This window comes from Homo sapiens, chromosome 19 (assembly GCF_000001405.40).
Source record: "Homo sapiens chromosome 19, GRCh38.p14 Primary Assembly".
NCBI classification, from domain to species: domain Eukaryota; kingdom Metazoa; phylum Chordata; class Mammalia; order Primates; family Hominidae; genus Homo; species Homo sapiens.
Genome location: NC_000019.10, coordinates 22,389,784 through 22,407,571, shown reverse-complemented (window position 1 = coordinate 22,407,571; position 17,788 = coordinate 22,389,784). Strand labels below are relative to the sequence as shown.

General features: G+C 37.6%; 1 protein-coding gene across 1 annotated transcript in view; it reads left to right on the top strand.

Annotated features, from left to right (window-relative positions):
- The window catches only part of ZNF98 (zinc finger protein 98), a 31,328-nt gene extending 14,775 nt beyond the window's left edge, over window positions 1-16,553 (top strand). The window contains exons 2-4 of the mRNA NM_001098626.2: window positions 4,060-4,186; window positions 4,688-4,783; window positions 14,591-16,553. Of these exons, the coding sequence (NP_001092096.1) occupies window positions 4,060-4,186; window positions 4,688-4,783; window positions 14,591-16,056 (1,689 nt within the window). The 3' untranslated portion in view covers window positions 16,057-16,553. The remainder of the gene's footprint in view (window positions 1-4,059; window positions 4,187-4,687; window positions 4,784-14,590) is intronic.
- The last annotated feature ends 1,235 nt before the right edge of the window (window positions 16,554-17,788 follow it).

The window sequence follows — 17,788 nt, the reverse complement described above, 5'->3', positions numbered from 1 at the left end:
CCCAGCTAAATTTTGGATTTTTAGTAGAGATAGTGTTTCACCATGTTGGCCAGGCTGGTCTTGAACTCCTGACCTTGTGATTCACCCGCCTTGGCCTCCCAAAGTGCTGGGATTACAGGCGTGAGCCACCGTGCCCAGCCGAGAAATGAAAAACCCTCCAAAAAAAAAAAATCAGTGAATTCAGGAGCTGTTTTTTGAAAAAATTAACAAAATAGGACTGGGCACAGTGGCTCACGCCTGTAATCCCAGCACTTTGGGAAGCCAAGGCAGGGGGATCATCTGAGGTCAAGAGTTCGAAACCAACCTGGCCAACAAGATGAAACCCTATCTCTACTAAACGTAGAAAAATTAGCTGGTCATGGTGGCACGCGCCTGTAATCCCAGCTACTCCAGAGGCTGAGACAGCAGAATCGCTTGAACCCAGGAGGCGGAGGTTGCAGTGAGCCAAGATCGCGCCACTGCACTCCAGCCTGGGCGACAGAGTGAGACTCTGTCTAACTGGTTATTCTAGTTAGCAGCTCCTCTCTCTAACTTTTTATCAAGGTTCTTAGGTTTTTTGCATTTGGTTAGAACATGCTCCTTTAGCTCAGTGGAGTTTGTTATCACCCATCTTCTGAAGCCTACTTCTGTCAATTTGTCTATCTTATTCTCCATCCAGTTCTGCACCCTTGCTGGAGAGGCATTGCAATCATTTGGAGAAGAGGCACTCTTGCCTTTTGGGTTTTCAGTGTCTTTTTCTTTTTTCTTTTTTTTTTGAGACGGAGTCTTGCTCTGTTGCCCAGGCTGGAGTGCAGTGGCGCGATCTCAGCTCACTGCAAGCTCTGCCTCCCAGGTTCACGTCATTCTTCTGCCTCGGCCTCCCAAGTAACTGGGACTACAGGTGCGGACTACCATGCCCGGCTAATTTTTTGTATTTTTAGTAGAGACAGGGTTTCACCGTGTTAGCCAGGATGGTCTCGATTTCTTGACCTCATGATCTGCCCGCCTCAGCCTCCCAAAGTGCTGGGATTACAGGCATGAGCCACCACACCTGGCTTCAGCGTTTTTTTCATTAATTCTTTCTCATCTTCATGAGTTTGTCTAGTTTTGATCTTTGAGGCTGCTGACTCTTGGATGAGGTTAGTGTGGGGACTTTTTTATTGCTGTTGTTCATTTCTGTTTGTTTTTTTTCAGTGGTCAGGTCCCTCTTCTGTATGGTTGCTGTGATTTGCTGGGGGTTCACTTCAGGCCCTATTTACGTGGTTCACTCCTGCACCTGGAGATAATACTCAAGGAGGCTGGAGAACAGCAAAGATGGTTGCCTTCTCCTTCCTCTGGGCTGCCTGACCTCAAGGAACAACAATCTGATGCCAGTAGGAACACTCCTGTATAGAGTGTCTGACAACCCCAGTTGGAGTATTTCACCCATTGGGTGACACGAGGAACAGAACCCATTTAATGAAGCACTTTTATTGTCCCTTGGTGGAGGGGGTATGCTTCACTGAAGTTAAAACCACTCCTCTGGGCTGCTTGGATTCCTTAGAACTAACAGGAGGAAAAGCTAAGTCTGCTGTTCCCACAGAGACTGCAATCACTTCTCCCCTTAGGGACTCAGGCCCAGGGAGATCAGAGTTCTGTCCCTGAGCCCCTGGCTGGAGTTGGAGTTCCTGCAGGGTGGCCCCACAAAATGAGGAGGGATGGGTCAGAGTCAGGCCTGAAGAGGTGCTGTAGCTGTAGTCTGGCACAGCCGGTGTGTTGGGCTGTGGGGGACACTTCTTGGAACCAAGCCTGCCAGGAGCTGTAGAGATGGTTGCTGCCCCTCCCCGGGGAGCTCAGATGGCTTAGACAGCAGGCAGCCACACCTGTGGTGCTGGTCACCCCTCCCCTGGGAACTCAGCAGGCTTAAACAGATTTTAGCTGAGAGGTTGTTGAGAATCTGCACAGCTCTGGGGTTGGGACCCTAGGCTCCTGTGGCATGGGTTCACGAGTGAAATCTTTCCGTTTGTGGGTTGCACAGTTCCATGGAAAAAGCATGGTTTTGTCGGCTAAGTAGCACATTCATTCACCATCTCTCTTGGCTGGGGGGTGGGGGCTCCCCTTCCCCGTATGGCTCTCAGGTGGGTTGCTGCACCACACTGCTCTTTCTTCCTCTCCGTGGGTCATGCCAGCTGCCTAGTCAGTTCTGATGAGAGAACCTGGATACCTCAGGTGCAAGTGCAGGATTCACAGGCCATTATGGTTCTTTTTGGTGGGAGCCTCTGATCGCAGCTGCTTCTAGTTGGCCATCTTTGCCCTGCCCCTAATTTTTTTTTTTTTTTTTTTTAGCTAAGCATGTCTCAGATGAAGAGCTGTGTCCACTCTGTGTCCTAGAATGCCATATGTTCAGTACTTGCAAAGCTTTACTTTTCTACATGTGCTTTTTCTTCCTAATGAGTTTAACTGCTTTTTAGTTCTTATAATAGTCAGGGGTGTCTGAAAAATATTTCTTTCCTATATACCAGAGTCTTCTTTACATTCTCAACATCATGGCTTCTTACACGTCATAAAGAATTCTCACCATGAATTTATGAACTGCAATATTAAGAAGGTTTCTTTCCTGGCTGTGGAACATGGAAAGGGTGGATACTGAATATTCCTATTGGGGAAAAGCTGGAGTCCGTAGTAAAGATGGAGAGCATGTAATGTTGAGGTTCTATCTCTGTTCTCCATTAACTCTATGCAGAACAGGATTAAGAAAATGCTTGCTTAAATGGGATGGCATTTATTACCCAGACAGTTTTGAAAAAAAAATTATTAGGAGATACTTGCTCTTTAGGGTGTGAAAGAAAGACTACTTAAAATCACTATTAAAATTTACAGAACATGGCAGATATCAGTATCTGGAACTTTGCATAAAACCAATGTTTCTTTATGATTAAATTCAGGCTATGATTTACTTTTGGCTGGGAGATACCATAGCAGTGATGCCGTGTCCTTCTGTGTGCATCAGCACATCATAAAAATTTATCTTCATGCAGTTGATGTTAATAACTCACTTGGTTAATGAACTCTGACAGATTTTTTTTTCTATAGAGTTCATTATTTTTCTCTTCATTATTGAGTATCTTTATTCAGCAGATGTGCATAAACAATCACATTTAATCTGGCAGCTGACCTTTCTTAGGTTTTCTTTGCATTTATCTGTCTTTGGAAAACGAAAGCTCTCATCTTTGTTTACAGGCCAGAAAAACTGAAAAACACACAGGCTCTTCCACTTACTGGATGTTTGACAAAATAGTTTTCTTGGACCAAAAACATGGGCATTACTGGTGAGCTTGTTAGAGATTCAGAAACTCAGATTTTATTCCAAATTTTCTTTTCTTTTTTTTATTTTGAGACGGAGTCTCGCTCTGTCACCCAGGCTGGAGTGTAGTGGCGCGATTTCAGCTCACTGCAAGCTCCGCCTCTGGGGTTCATGCCATTCTCCTGCCTCAGCCTCCCGAGTAGCTGGGACTACAGGCTCTCGCCTCCACGCCTGGCTAATTTTTTGTATTTTTAGTAGAGCCAGGGTTTCACTGTGTTAGCCAGGATAGTCTCGGTCTCCTGACCTCGTGATCCACCTGCCTTAGCCTCCCAAAGTGCTGGGATTACAGGCGTGAGCCATCGCTCCCAGCCCAGATTTTCTGAAAAAATAATCTGCATTAACAAGATCTCCAGTTTATTTTACACATTAACATGTGAGCAGTATTTTCTAACTGAATATGTCTTTTCCATCTGAAAAATTTACACAACTTATTCTGTATGATGTAAATGTAGCACTCAAAAGTGTACATGTTAGTGTTAATGCCCTCAGTTTTATACTTCATCATCCAAAAAAGTATCATCTATACCTCGATGTTGTGGATCTTATGCCACTCTCTTTTCTCAGAGTTAGAGAATACATTAGAGAATACTTCTGTGCTGAAAGTTATTTATTAAATATATCAGTCACTCCTATAAGTAAGAACCAGTTCTCTTTACTCTTGTTTTACCTTGAGTCAAATTAAAAATTCTGTTTATGGCCACTTGGTAAATATGTATGTGTGTTTGTATGTTTTTCAGGGAGTGTTGACATTTAGGGATGTGGCCTTAGAATTCTCTCTGGAGGAGTGGCAATGCCTGGACACCGCACAGCAGAATTTATATAGGAATGTGATGTTAGAGAACTACAGAAACCTGGTCTTTGTGGGTGAGGATAACTTCAATATACAATTCCCTAATATACCCTATAAATTTTATTTCTCTTTTTTGTAGAATGGTTTTTTTGGTAGTTTATGCTTTCAGATCTCTGTTTTTTTTTTTTGTTTTTTTTTTTTAACTTCAAGATTTGTCTATGTAGAAAAGAATTTCAAGATGTTTCATTTTGATCTGAACTTTCCACACTCCTGAGCTGATCTGTGTTCTTCACTCTAGATTAGTGTTAATTTTAGAAATTTAGTGGCATAACATACTGTTGCCCACATCTTAAAATCTAATTGCCACTACCAGTTTTTGATTTAGTAGTATCAGGTAGTGAAATTAAGAACTTACAAAATTAAAATATTTCCTAAATATTTAAAATTTTTTGTTGTGTATTAGTATTTTGGAATCAATTTACTAGAATATTCTATTACATCCTTTTTACTGAACACACTACTAAATTGGTAATTGGAGAATATGAGCAAGATTCATGTTATTTGTAATAAAACAGGTATTGCTGCCTCTAAGCCAGACCTGATCACCTGTCTGGAGCAAGGAAAAGAACCTTGGAATGTGAAGAGACATGAGATGGTAACTGAACCCCCAGGTAGGTGAGAGTGAAAGTGAATACAACAGACGACACAGATGAGAGCTCCAAAGTAGAAAAAAAAAAAAAGCCATTCCTTAAAATGATTTGAAATCTGTGTTCCAAAGGAAATAGTTTCTAGGAAACTTGAATTTTTTAAATTTTGCTTTCACATAGAAGCATCTTCTGTCTTATATTTTTAAAATCTCTAAAGATTTTACTTTCCCTTTGGTGATCTTCTTCAGGTTTACAGTGACAGCCAAGACAGCCCTCTTCATGGCACATAAGAGACTGTGAAATCTGACTGCTTTTTCATTGTTTTTGAAAACACATAGATAATCTGCATAATTTTGAGAAACTCTATGTTAAACTGTTTTTCAAGTTCTGTTTTTACATCATGTCCTAAATGTGTGAGAGCAGTGGTTTCTGTTCCATTGGTTTTTTATTGCTAATTTTTCTGCACATTGCATTCTGTCTTATTATAGTCTTGAAGTATAGTTTGAAATTATAAAGTATGATGTTCTTCTGCTTTGTCCTTTTTTTTTCAAGATTGCTTTGGCTATTCAAAGTTTATTGTAAGTCTATGTGAGAATTGTATTTTCTTTTTCTCTTTCTTTTTTTTTTTTTTTTTTTTGAGATGGAGTCTTGCTCTGTCACCCAGGCTGGAGTGGAGTGTCATCATCTTGGCTAACTGCAATCTCTGCCTCCTGGGTTCAAGCGATTCTTCTGCCTCAGCCTCCTGAGTAGCTGGGAATACAGGCGCGAGCCACCATGCCTGGCTAATTTTTATATTTTTAGTAGAGACGGGGTGTCACCATATTGGCCAGGCTGGTCTCGAACTCCTAGACCTTGTGATCCGCCTGCCTTGGCCTCCCAAAGTGCTAGGATTACAGGTGTGACCCACCGTGCCTGACCGAGAATTGTATTTTCTATTACTGTAAAAAAAAAATACTGGAATTTTGATAGGGAATTTATTGAATCTAGAGATCACTGTAGATAACACGGCACTTTAATAATATTCTTTCAGCCGGGCATGGTGGCTCACGCCTGTAATCCCTGCACTTTGGGAGGCTGAGGCAGGTGGATCACCTGAGGTCAGGAGTTTGAGACCAGCCTGGCCAACATGATGAAACCCTGTCTCTACTAAAAATACAAAAAATTAGTCAGGCGTGGTGACAGGCGCCTGTAATTCCAGCTACTTGGGAGGCTGAGGCGGAAGAATTGCTTGAACCTGGTAGGCAGAGGTTGCAGTGAGCTGAGATTGCACCACTACACTCCAATGTGGGCAACAAGAGTGAAACTCCATCTCAAAAAAAAAAAAAAATTCTTTCAATCAATAGACATGAAATGTTTTTAAATTTATTTTTGTCTTCTCCAATTATTGATGTATCTTTTATTTGAAAGATATTTAAGCTCCTTGGTTAAATTTGTTCTCAGAAATTTATTATTTTAGTGCTATTGTAAATAAGATTGCTTTCTGTCTCTCTTTTGTCAGATAGTTTGTTTAAAGTGTATGGAACCATAACTTACACTTGTATGTTAATTTTCTATTTTGCTAACTTATTGAGTGTAATTATTACTTTAATTAGGTTTTAAATGTACTGTTTATGGTTTTCTATATACAAGATCAAATGATCTACAAAAAGCAACTTTTTACTTATTTGTCTTCAATTTCAGTGACTTAAATTTTTTTTTTTTTTTTTTTTACTTATTCCACATACTTCCAGTGCTGTGTTAAAATAGAAGCATTGAGAATGGGCATAATAAACTTTTGCATTGGTGTCTGTGAGTTTGAAGGAGTAAACACCTCTTCAAGTTTTTCTTGTTTTTTTTTTGTTTTGTTTTGTTTTGTTTTTTGAGACAGTGTCTCACTCTGTCGCTGAGACTGGAGTGCAGTGGCGCGGCCTCGGCTCACTGCAACCTCCACCTCCCAGGTTCAAGTGATTCTCCTGCCTCTGCCTCCCGAGTAGCTGGGACTACAGGTGCGTGCCACCATGCCTGGCTAATTTTTATATTTTTAGTAGAGATGGGGTTTCACCATGTTGGCCAGGCTGGTCTTGAACTCCTGACCTGGTGATCCACCCGCCTTGGCCTCCCAAAGTTCTGGGATTACAGGCGTGAGCCACCGCGCCTGGCCCTCTTCAAGTTTTTATAAATTGGTTTCAGAAAGTGAAGATCTTTTGTTGAGCCCCCAGGGTGATGGGATGTCCTATGGGTTTGTAGTGGAGAGGGGTAGGTAGCTTGTTTACAAAGGCTGCTGGGTCTGCATTAGGGTCCACCTTTAGTTGGCTTGTTACAAGGGGCTTAGGTAGTTGTAATTCCCATTTTATTTTTGGACAGAGTGAGTATCCTTCAGGACTTTGCTCTGTAGGGCAGACGCTAGGGCAGATTTCTGCACTTGGGTCTGCATATGGTAGGCTTTATATTAGGATGTAGATGAGTTTGGCTTTCACTGAGTACCAGAGAGGATTTCCCAAGGTCACTGTGTGGGTTTCTACATAGGCAGAACTTGCCATGAACTGTGGCTCAGGGTGATAAAACTGAGTCATGAAACTGCTTCAGGGACCACAGTAATGGCCAAGGTCTGCAGGCCTGCTGCGTGGCTATAAAGGGGTGTCTCTCTCCAGACCTCTGAAAGGGCAAGACCTCTCCCAGACTGTGGCTGGGAGGAGTTTGGGATGATTGCAGGGTAAGTTCAGAATTCTCAGTGGGACCAAGTTTGGTGGGCCATTTTCTGGTCTGTAGCCAAGAACAGGGGTCCTGTAGTTTGCCACCTGAATGAAAGCCTGCCTTCTGAAGAGAATATTCCTCAATCTTGGGCATTAGCAGAGTTTCACAACTCCCTCCATAGATCTCAAAGCTCTTTAAGGGCACTTGTTTTGGAGATGGGTTCTTGCTACATGACCCAGGTTGATCTTGAAGTTCTGTCCTAAAGCATTTCTCATTACAGGTTTGAGTCATGATTCCTGTTTCTCTCATAAAGGCATTTTTATCAGGCTGATGAATTTTCTTGCTGTCAGAAAATAAGCAAATAAGGCACCATTTATTTTTCCATCTTAGTGATGTCACTCTTCCTGTACATTTTTACTTTCTACTTTCTATTTCAATTTTGTCAGTAGTTTTAGATTTAGACATTTAGGACAATATACTAAAATTGACATGTTATGTCTGAGGTGAATTAGATAATTAGTAGACAGACAAAAAGGAAATATAGACAGGCAAAAAAAGACAGGATTTTCACTCACTTTTGTCAGCTAGTACCTAAAATATGACATAATTTGTTCCCAAATATTTGTTTTATATATCAGAGGCCCTGACCATATTCTGCAAAATAGATATATTTTTTCTTTATTTAGCAATGTAAGGCTATTTTTTGCTTCTAAATTTGGATTACAGCAGTTTTATTTTGTGTAAGAATAGCATATATTTAAAACTTAGAAATGATCTTATTTATTAAAATGCTTATTTATCAGTTTGTCATTAGAGTCTTCTGTTTATGATTATACTGCATTTTATCTGAAACTTTTACTGCATTACAGTGCATGCCAATGATTCAAAATAGCCACCTTCAATGAGTACACAGTTACAGTAAAATATTCCAGTTATCTACACAAATTCTTTGTTAATGCTACATCAAGTTACATACCAGATTTTATGAGTAAACATTTATTATTATTTTTTAGTTTCATATTAATGCGTTTTTTCAGTGTAGGTTTCTTAACATAAGTTTATTGTGTTTTTTGGTTTTACAATTTTAGACAATTTGCAATTCTGTTTTTACATGTAAGTCGGTGTGGGGTTTAAGAGATAAATCAGCCTTATCTCTATTACAATCTGATTATATGTGTGTGTGTTTTTATCTATAAATATGACCCCAATTTTGGTTATGGCTAATCTTGTATATATTTTTTCTTAGCTGATTTTTAATGGTGGCTTTATCTTGTCTAAATGAGTAGTCATGGAAATAGTCTTATTTTCACCTTGTGTTTAATAATAAACATATTTCCTATGTGTGAGGGAAACACTTTTGTGACTTGAAGGTAATTTTTGGAAAGGTTTATAATTCTGGATCTTCAGTTATTCTTCTAAAAAACAATTGTACAAACATATAACCTAAAATTTACCATCTTAAATCTATTTGAATGTACATTTCATGGCCAGTCGTGGTGGTTCACGTCTGTAATCCCCGGATTTTGGGAGGCCAAGGCAGGAAGACTGAGCCCAAAAGCTTGAGAACATCCTGGAAGACATATGGAAACCTCATCTCTGTAAAGCATTTTAAAACGTAGCCAGACATGGTGAAGTGGTCCTGTCTACTTGGGAGATTGAGGAGGGAGGATTACTTGAACCTGGAAGTTTGAGGCTGCAGTGAGCTGTAATTGTGCCATGCACCCCAGCTTGGGTGACAGAGTGAGACCCTGACTCAAAAACACTGTACATTTCAGGCATGTTAAGTATATTTACATTATTTTATAAAAGATTTCTAGAAAGTTTACAATACACATTAAACAACTACCAATTTTTCCCATTTCCTGGCACTTTTCAAATGCCATTCTGTTTTCTGTTTCTAAGAGTATAACTGCTTTGTATATCTCATAAAATCTGTTTGTGGCTGGCTCATTTTATTTTGCATAAAGTCATCAGGATTTACCTTTATAGTTGTTAGAATATTTCCTGCTTTTTTTCAAACTGAGTAATATTTTGGCATTTTTGTATTTCAAATTATATCTGCTGAACGATTTGGTGACCGAAATTTGCCTTGCTTTTACCTACTGGCTTTTAGTAACAATGCTAAAATAAATGTGGGTATGCAAATGACTCTTCATGTGACCATATATGTGAGAGTTTATATATGTGCTGCATTCTATTTTATTAGTCTACTTTTTCACCTTTATACTCATACCAAATTGTTTTAATTCTGTAGCTTTGTGTTTTGAAATCAGGAACTGTAATGCCTCCAACATTGTTTTGTTTTGTTTTTAATATTTTTGGGTACTTCATTGTATGTAGAGATTCTGTATACTCGAGGGATTGCTGTTTCTGTTTCTTCAAAAATGCAGTGAGAAATTTGAAAAACATTGCATTAAATCTGTAGATTGCATTGAGCAGGATGGACATCTTTACAGTATTACCTTTTTCAGCCTTTCACAAGAGCATGCTCAAGAGTGTGTTGTTTAATTTCTATATATTTGTTAATTTTTCAGATTTTTTTTCTCGTTGTATACTCATTTCATTTTGGTGATAGAAAGTAATTTATAAAATTTCAGTTTTAAAAAAACTGGTAAGACTTAATTTTCTTTTTTTTGTAATAAGAGGAGGTCTATGAAGGAAAATGTTGTATTAGCTATTGAGAACCATGTGTGTCCTGGTGTTGAGGGGTGTTTTCTATACCTCTGTTAGAAATAATTGTCTTACACTGCCTGGAAGTCCTCTATTCCCTTACTAATATTCTCATTTAATTTTTATTACGGCAAGTGCAGTGTCAAAATATCCTACTATAATTATGTTGCTCTCTATGTGTCTCTGTTATTCTGTCAATGTTTGCTTTATATGTTTGGAGCCCTAATGTGAGATACACACACACACACACACACACAAAAACACACACACACACACACAGATGTACATACAGATTTGTCATAGGTTCCCAGTGAGTAAATCTGAAGTGGTTTTTTTTTGTTGTTTTTTTTTGAGACAGAGTCTCACTCTGTGTCCCAGGCTGGAGTGCAGTGGTGTGATCTCGGCTCACTGCAACCTCTGCCTCCTAGGTTCAAGTGATTCTCCTTCCTCAGCCTCCTGAGTAGCTAGGATTACAGGCGCCCACCACCATGCCCGGCTAATTTTTGTATTTTTAGTAGAGTCGGTTTCACCATGTTGGCCAGGCCAGTCTCGAACTCCTGACCTCAAGTGATCCACCTGCCTCAGCCTCCCAAAGTGCTGGGATTACAGGCGTGAGCCACCATGCCCAGCCTAAATCTGTAAGTTTTAATGTCCTTTTTTGTCTCCTTGGAGTTTTAACTTCAAGTACATTTTGTAAAACATGACAGTTTTTGACTTAAGATGTAGCTTGCATAATACTATCTTGATTTCTTCTGCTCTCATTTGATTCATATTTGCATGAAATGTATTCTTCCATCTTGCCCCTTTTAGTGTTTTTTATCATTAGATCTCTACTGACTCTTGTAGAAAAAAAAAGTTGGATCTTGGTTTTTAAAATTTTTAATCTGTTGAAAGTATGTCTCTTGATTTAAAAGTTAATTTTATATATACATTTAAATAACTGTCTGATAAAGACAGACTGTTACATTTTTAATTATTTTATTTGATTCTTGCATCTTTGTTTCTCATTTTCTCTCTTTGTGTCTTTTTGATTTTTGTATTGATATGCTTTTACTTATTTCTAATTCACTTTTGTATATTTGTACAGAATTTTTTTTTGGTGGCACCTTGGGGGTTCCATAAAACTTCTATAAGAAACAACAGTATAGTTTTAATTTGGTATAAAATAAATCTCAGTTGAATAAAAAAATCTTCCTCATTACATCTGCCCTGAAATTTGTCTTTGATGTTGCTAATTATGTTTTTACATTGTATATTCATTAACAGATGTTTATAATTTCTGTGCTTTTATTTTTCAAAATTTAGAGATAATTTAAAATGTTTTCTGCACCATTATGATAATGCCACAAGATTCTGTTTTTATGTATGTGCATATCTTTCCTGGAAAATAATGTATTTTTATATGATTATGTGTTTTTTTTTAATACTTTTACTTTCAGTTTAAGAAACTGCTTTCATCATCTTTTATATGTAGGGCATATGCAGTGCTAATATACTTTTTCAGAATTTGGTTGTTTTGGAAGGTTTTTTCTTTTTATGTGGCAGGACAGATTTGTTGATGGTATTATTCTCAACTTGATAGCTTTTTTTTTTCCCCCCCCTCAGGACTTTGTGTCACACGGTATCTTTCTGATCTGCAAAATTTTTGTTGATAATTCACTGGTTATATCATAAGACTATGTTTGTAAATGACACATTACTTTTACCTTGCTGCTCCTAAGACTTTCTTCCTGTCTGTGATTTTTGAAAATGTGCTTAATATGTATTTGTTTAAATATCTGTGTGTGTATCCTAATTTGTTTGTTGAACTTCATTTTTACATCATTTTTCTTTTAGGATTTTCCAGTTGTTTATTTTTCTATTTTTTACCACCAAATTGTTTTTTTTTAATATTTTGATATTCTTGTTTTTATTCTCATTTTTGTGATTTTCTACAGTGGACTGTGTTCCTGTTTCACTCATTGGATATTATTCAACTTATTAGTGTTTAAAACGTGTACATCTTTTTTATGGTTTCTTTCTGAAGTTTATATGGTATTTTTGATGAAATTATATTGCCCTGTTTTGTATACATTGTAATCTGGAATGAGATTTGGACATCAAAAAAGCTACCTGTCACAGTCTTTAAAATGTTTTTTTTTTCTGACATAGTCTGAAAACAATTATCTTGGCTAGAGATTCTGGGAGTCTCTCAAACATGTTCTTAGGATGTGCCTTGTCTAAAATTTTGTGTTTAGTTTTTAGTCAGCGGAGTTTATTCGTGTTTCTTTTCTTTTTTTTTTTTTTTTTTTCTTTTTGAAACAGAGTTTTGCTCCTGTCACCCAGGCTGCAGTGCAATGGCATGGTCTCAGCCCACTGCAGCCTCCACTTCTCCGGTTCAAGTGATTATCTGGTCTCAGCTTCCCACTTAGCTGGGATTACAGGCATGTGACCCCATGCTCAGCTACTTTTGTATTTTTAGTAGAGACAGGGTTTCACTATGTTGCCAAGGCTTGGTCTCAAACTCCGGACCTCAGTTGATCCTCCCACCTTGGCCTCCCAAAGTGCTAGGATTACAGGTTTGAGCCACCAAACTCCTTAATAACCAATAATCACTTGCTATAATTGTTTCCTGTCTGTAGTACCACAGTCTTTCTGCTGCTGTAAAACTTACCTTTCTTATTTATTTATTTATTTCATTATACTTTAAGTCCTAGGGTACATGTGCCCAGCGTGCAGTTATGTTACATAGGTATACATGTGCCATGGTGGTTAATGCTGTCCTTCCCCCAGCCCCTCACACCCCAACAGGCCCCGTTGTATGATGTTCCCCGCCCTGTGTCCAGGTATTCTCATTGCTCAATTCCCACCTATGAGTGAGAACATGCGGTGTTTGGTTTTCTGTCCTTGTGATAGTGTGCTCAGAATGATGGTTTCCAGCTTCATCCATGTGCCTGCAAAGGACATGAACTCATCCTTTTTCATGAATACATAGTATTCTGTAGTATATACGTGCCACATTTTCTTAATCCATTCTATCATTGATGGACATTTGGGTTGGTTCCAAGTCTTTGCTATTGTGAATAGTGCCGCAATAAATGTACGTGTGCATGTGTCCTTATAGTAGCATGATTTATAATCCTTTGGGTATATACCCCGTAATGGGATGGCTGGCTCAAATGGTATTTCTAGTTCTAGATCCTTGAGGAATCGCAACACTGTCTTCCACAATGGTTGAACTAGTTTACAGTCCCACCAACAGTGTAAAAGCGTTTCTATTTCTCCACATCCTCTCCAGCACCTGTTGTCTCCTGACTTTTTAATGATCACCATTCTAACTGGCATGAGATGGTATCTCATTGTGGTTTTGATTTGCATTTCTCGGATGGCCAGTGATGATGAGCATTTTTCCATGTGTCTGTTGGCTGCATAAATGTCTTCTTTTGAGAAGTGTCTGTTCACATCCTTTGCTCACTTTTTGATGGGGTTGTTAGTTTTTTTCTTGTAAATTTGTTTAAGTTCTTTGTAGATTCTGGATGTTTGCCCTTTGTCAGATGGGTAGATTGCATAGATTTTCTCCCATTCTGTAGGTTGCCTGTTCATTCTGGTGGTAGTTTCTTTAGCTGTACAGAAGCTCTTTAGTTTAATTAGATCCCATTTGTCAATTTTGGCTTTTGTTGCCATTGCTTTTGGTGTTTTAGTCATGAAGTCCTTGCCCATACCTGTGTCCTGAATGGTATTGTCTAGGTTTTCCTCTAGGGTTTTTATGGTTTTAGGTCTAATATTTAAGTCTTTAATCCATTTTGAATTAATTTTTGTATAAGGTGTAAGGAAGGGATCCAGTTTCAGCTTTCTACATATGGCTAGCCAGTTTTCCCAGTACCATTTATTAAATAGGGAATCCTTTCCCCATTTCTTGTGTTTTGTCAGGTTTGTCAAAGATCAGATAGTTGTAGATGTGTGGTGTTATTTCTGAGGTCTCTATTCTGTTCCATTGGTCTATATATCTGTTTTGGTACCTTACCTTTCATCTCAGCAGCCTCAAACTGTCATTTGAAAGAATACCACTATTTCTTTCAGAACTTTTATGCAATGAGACACAGGAACCAGTGTAAAAGACCTTGCCATTGAGAAATAAAGATGTATAAGCCATTATTTTACTTGTCTTTTGAAAATGAAACCAGGAGTTGGCAATTTATTTCTAAAGTCACTATGTTATATAGGGAAGCAGGAAGATCTGCACTGGGTAAATGTAACAGACTTTTCTTTCTTCTGTGTGGCTCTTTGCATTGGGCTCATCTGGGGCACTGCACACACTTAACTTACTTTAATTTTTCAGAAATGTAATTTGTTCTGTATGCTTTTATATGTCTGTGAAAATGTTAGAGCGTGTAATATTTTGCTGTAACATCTTGTGATGTAGTTTGTATAATTTTATAGGTTAGATTTGTAAAGTACATTCATCTGAGTCTAGTAAGTGAAGTAATTTATTATTTTTATTTCTTTCAGTTGTATATTCTTATTTTGCCCAAGACCTTTGGCCAAAGCAGGGCAAAAAAAATTATTTCCAAAAAGTGATACTGAGAACATATAAAAAATGTGGACGTGAAAATTTACAGTTAAGAAAATACTGTAAAAGCATGGATGAGTGTAAGGTGCACAAAGAATGTTACAATGGACTTAACCAGTGTTTGACAACTACCCAGAACAAAATATTTCAATATGACAAATATGTGAAAGTCTTTCATAAATTTTCAAATTCAAACAGACATAAGATAGGACATACTGGAAAGAAATCTTTCAAGTGTAAAGAATGTGAAAAGTCATTTTGCATGCTTTCACACTTAGCTCAACATAAAAGAATTCATAGTGGAGAGAAACCCTACAAATGTAAAGAATGTGGGAAAGCCTATAATGAGGCCTCAAACCTTTCTACACATAAAAGAATTCATACTGGAAAGAAACCCTACAAATGCGAAGAGTGTGGAAAAGCCTTTAACCGGCTCTCACACCTTACTACACATAAGATAATTCATACTGGAAAGAAACCCTACAAATGTGAGGAGTGTGGCAAAGCTTTTAACCAATCTGCAAACCTTACTACACATAAGAGAATTCATACTGGAGAGAAACCCTACAAATGTGAAGAATGTGGCAGAGCTTTTAGCCAGTCCTCAACCCTTACTGCACATAAGATAATTCATGCTGGAGAGAAACCTTACAAATGTGAAGAATGTGGCAAAGCTTTTAGCCAGTCCTCAACCCTTACTACACATAAGATAATTCATACTGGAGAGAAATTCTACAAATGTGAAGAATGTGGTAAGGCCTTTAGCCGGTTATCCCACCTTACTACACATAAGAGAATTCATTCTGGAGAGAAACCCTACAAGTGTGAAGAATGTGGCAAAGCTTTTAAACAATCCTCAACCCTTACTACACATAAGAGAATTCATGCTGGAGAGAAATTCTACAAATGTGAAGTATGTAGCAAAGCCTTTAGCCGGTTCTCACACCTTACTACACATAAGAGAATTCATACTGGAGAGAAGCCCTACAAATGTGAAGAATGTGGCAAAGCTTTTAACCTATCATCACAACTTACTACACATAAGATAATTCATACTGGAGAGAAACCCTACAAATGTGAAGAATGTGGCAAAGCTTTTAACCAGTCCTCAACTCTTTCTAAACATAAGGTAATTCATACTGGAGAGAAGCCCTACAAATGTGAAGAATGTGGCAAAGCTTTTAACCAGTCCTCACACCTTACTACACATAAGATGATTCATACTGGAGAGAAACCCTACAAGTGTGAAGAATGCGGCAAAGCCTTTAACAACTCCTCTATTCTTAACAGACATAAGATGATTCATACTGGAGAGAAACTCTACAAACCTGAAAGTTGTAACAATGCTTGTGACAACATTGCAAAGATTTCCAAATATAAAAGAAATTGTGCTGGTGAGAAATAATAGAAATATGAATGTGACAAAGCCTTTAAATGGTTATCACACTGGATTGTAGGTAAGGTAATTCATTCTGGAGAAAACTTCTACAAGTGTGAACAGTGTGGCAAAACTTACACAATGCTCAAACCTTATTGCACAGGAAAGCCTTTATACTTGATGAGAACAAATGTACAAATATAAAGAAAGTAAAAAAGTGATTAATATCTGCACACATCTTATTCAGCATCAGAGAATTTATACTTAATAGCATTAAAGGTGCAATTACTGTCAAAAGAGTTCAGAAAATATAAGCATTTAAAGTGCTGAAGAGGATTTATTTTGAAGACAAACATTACAAATATAAACGAAGTTGTGGTAACTTTACTTGTAACACAGATCTTGTTGTATTCATTCTGTATTAGAGCAAACCCTGAGGCAATTGCTCAAACTTTGTTCAACATCAGAGAATTTATATCAAAGAAAAACCCTGTAAATGTAATAAATTTAGAAAAAAACATTTATTCAAAAACTACAGGTTAGAAAATTCCAGAGTTCATATTAAAATATTTTTGCATATACAGTAAATAGAAAAAAAATTTAATTCAATGGTAAGTCTATGTAAATATCAGAGAATTTACATTAGAAATATATAAGGCAATGACACTTCAGACTTTACACTGAATCAGAGTTCTGAGTTTAGAAAATAATCCAAAACTAAACTTGGTAGAAAAATTATTTGTTTATAACTTTAAAAGAGTAGAAGATTCTTTGGAGAGTTACAAGTATACTTTTTTTTAGAAAGATTACAGATTTTTTTAAAAGTAAATAACTGTCAAATTACTTCATACAAATAATGTAATTAACTCAAATTACTTCATGTTAATGTTGTAATTAACTCTCAAATTACTTCATGCTAAAGAAATTAGTTTTTCTTTTTCTTTTTTCTTTTTCTTTTTTTTTAGATGGAGTCTTGCTCTGTCGCCCACCCAGGCTGGAGTACAGTGGCACGATCTCAGCTCACTGCAACCTCCATCTCCAGGTTTCAAGTGATTCTCCTGCCTCAGCCTCCCAAGTAGCTGGGATTACAGGCACAAACCACCATGCCTGGCTAAATTTTGTATTTTTAATGGAGCCAGGGTTTTGCCATGTTGGCCAGGCTGGTCTAGAACTCGAGACTTTAGGTGATCCGCCCAGCTTGGCCTCCCACAATGCTGGAATTACAGGTGTTAGCCACTGCTCCTGGCTGATGTTGTTTCTTTATTCCTATTGTATTCATATGTGAAAGCATGTGACCAAAAGATATGAGAGATTATTTTTTATTAGGTGAGCATTTATGACCTCTTCTATGAAAGAGTAAGGACATTAAAATGCATGATGAAAATCTAAGTAAAGAGGTTCTTTGTGATTCACTTACAGTACTGAGTGATGCATGAGGTAGGTGTTCCGAGTAATATTCTGCATTATATTGAGAGACAAATTTTGTTTTAGTTAAAATTAAAAATAAATTAGTATATTATTTTACTAATTGTACTTTTATGAAAAAAAGGCAGTATGTTAAAAATTTTAGATTATGTGTGAACTTAATTTCTTAATTCAACATTTTAAACAGTTTAAATATTGTGCATTCAATCAAGTCACATTATTCCACTTACTTTAACCTAGTCCACCTTACTCAAGGGTGTAGGTAAAAGGTGGTAGCAAGGCCAGGCGCGGTGGCTCACGCCTGTAATCCCAGCACTTTGGGAGGCAAAGGCGG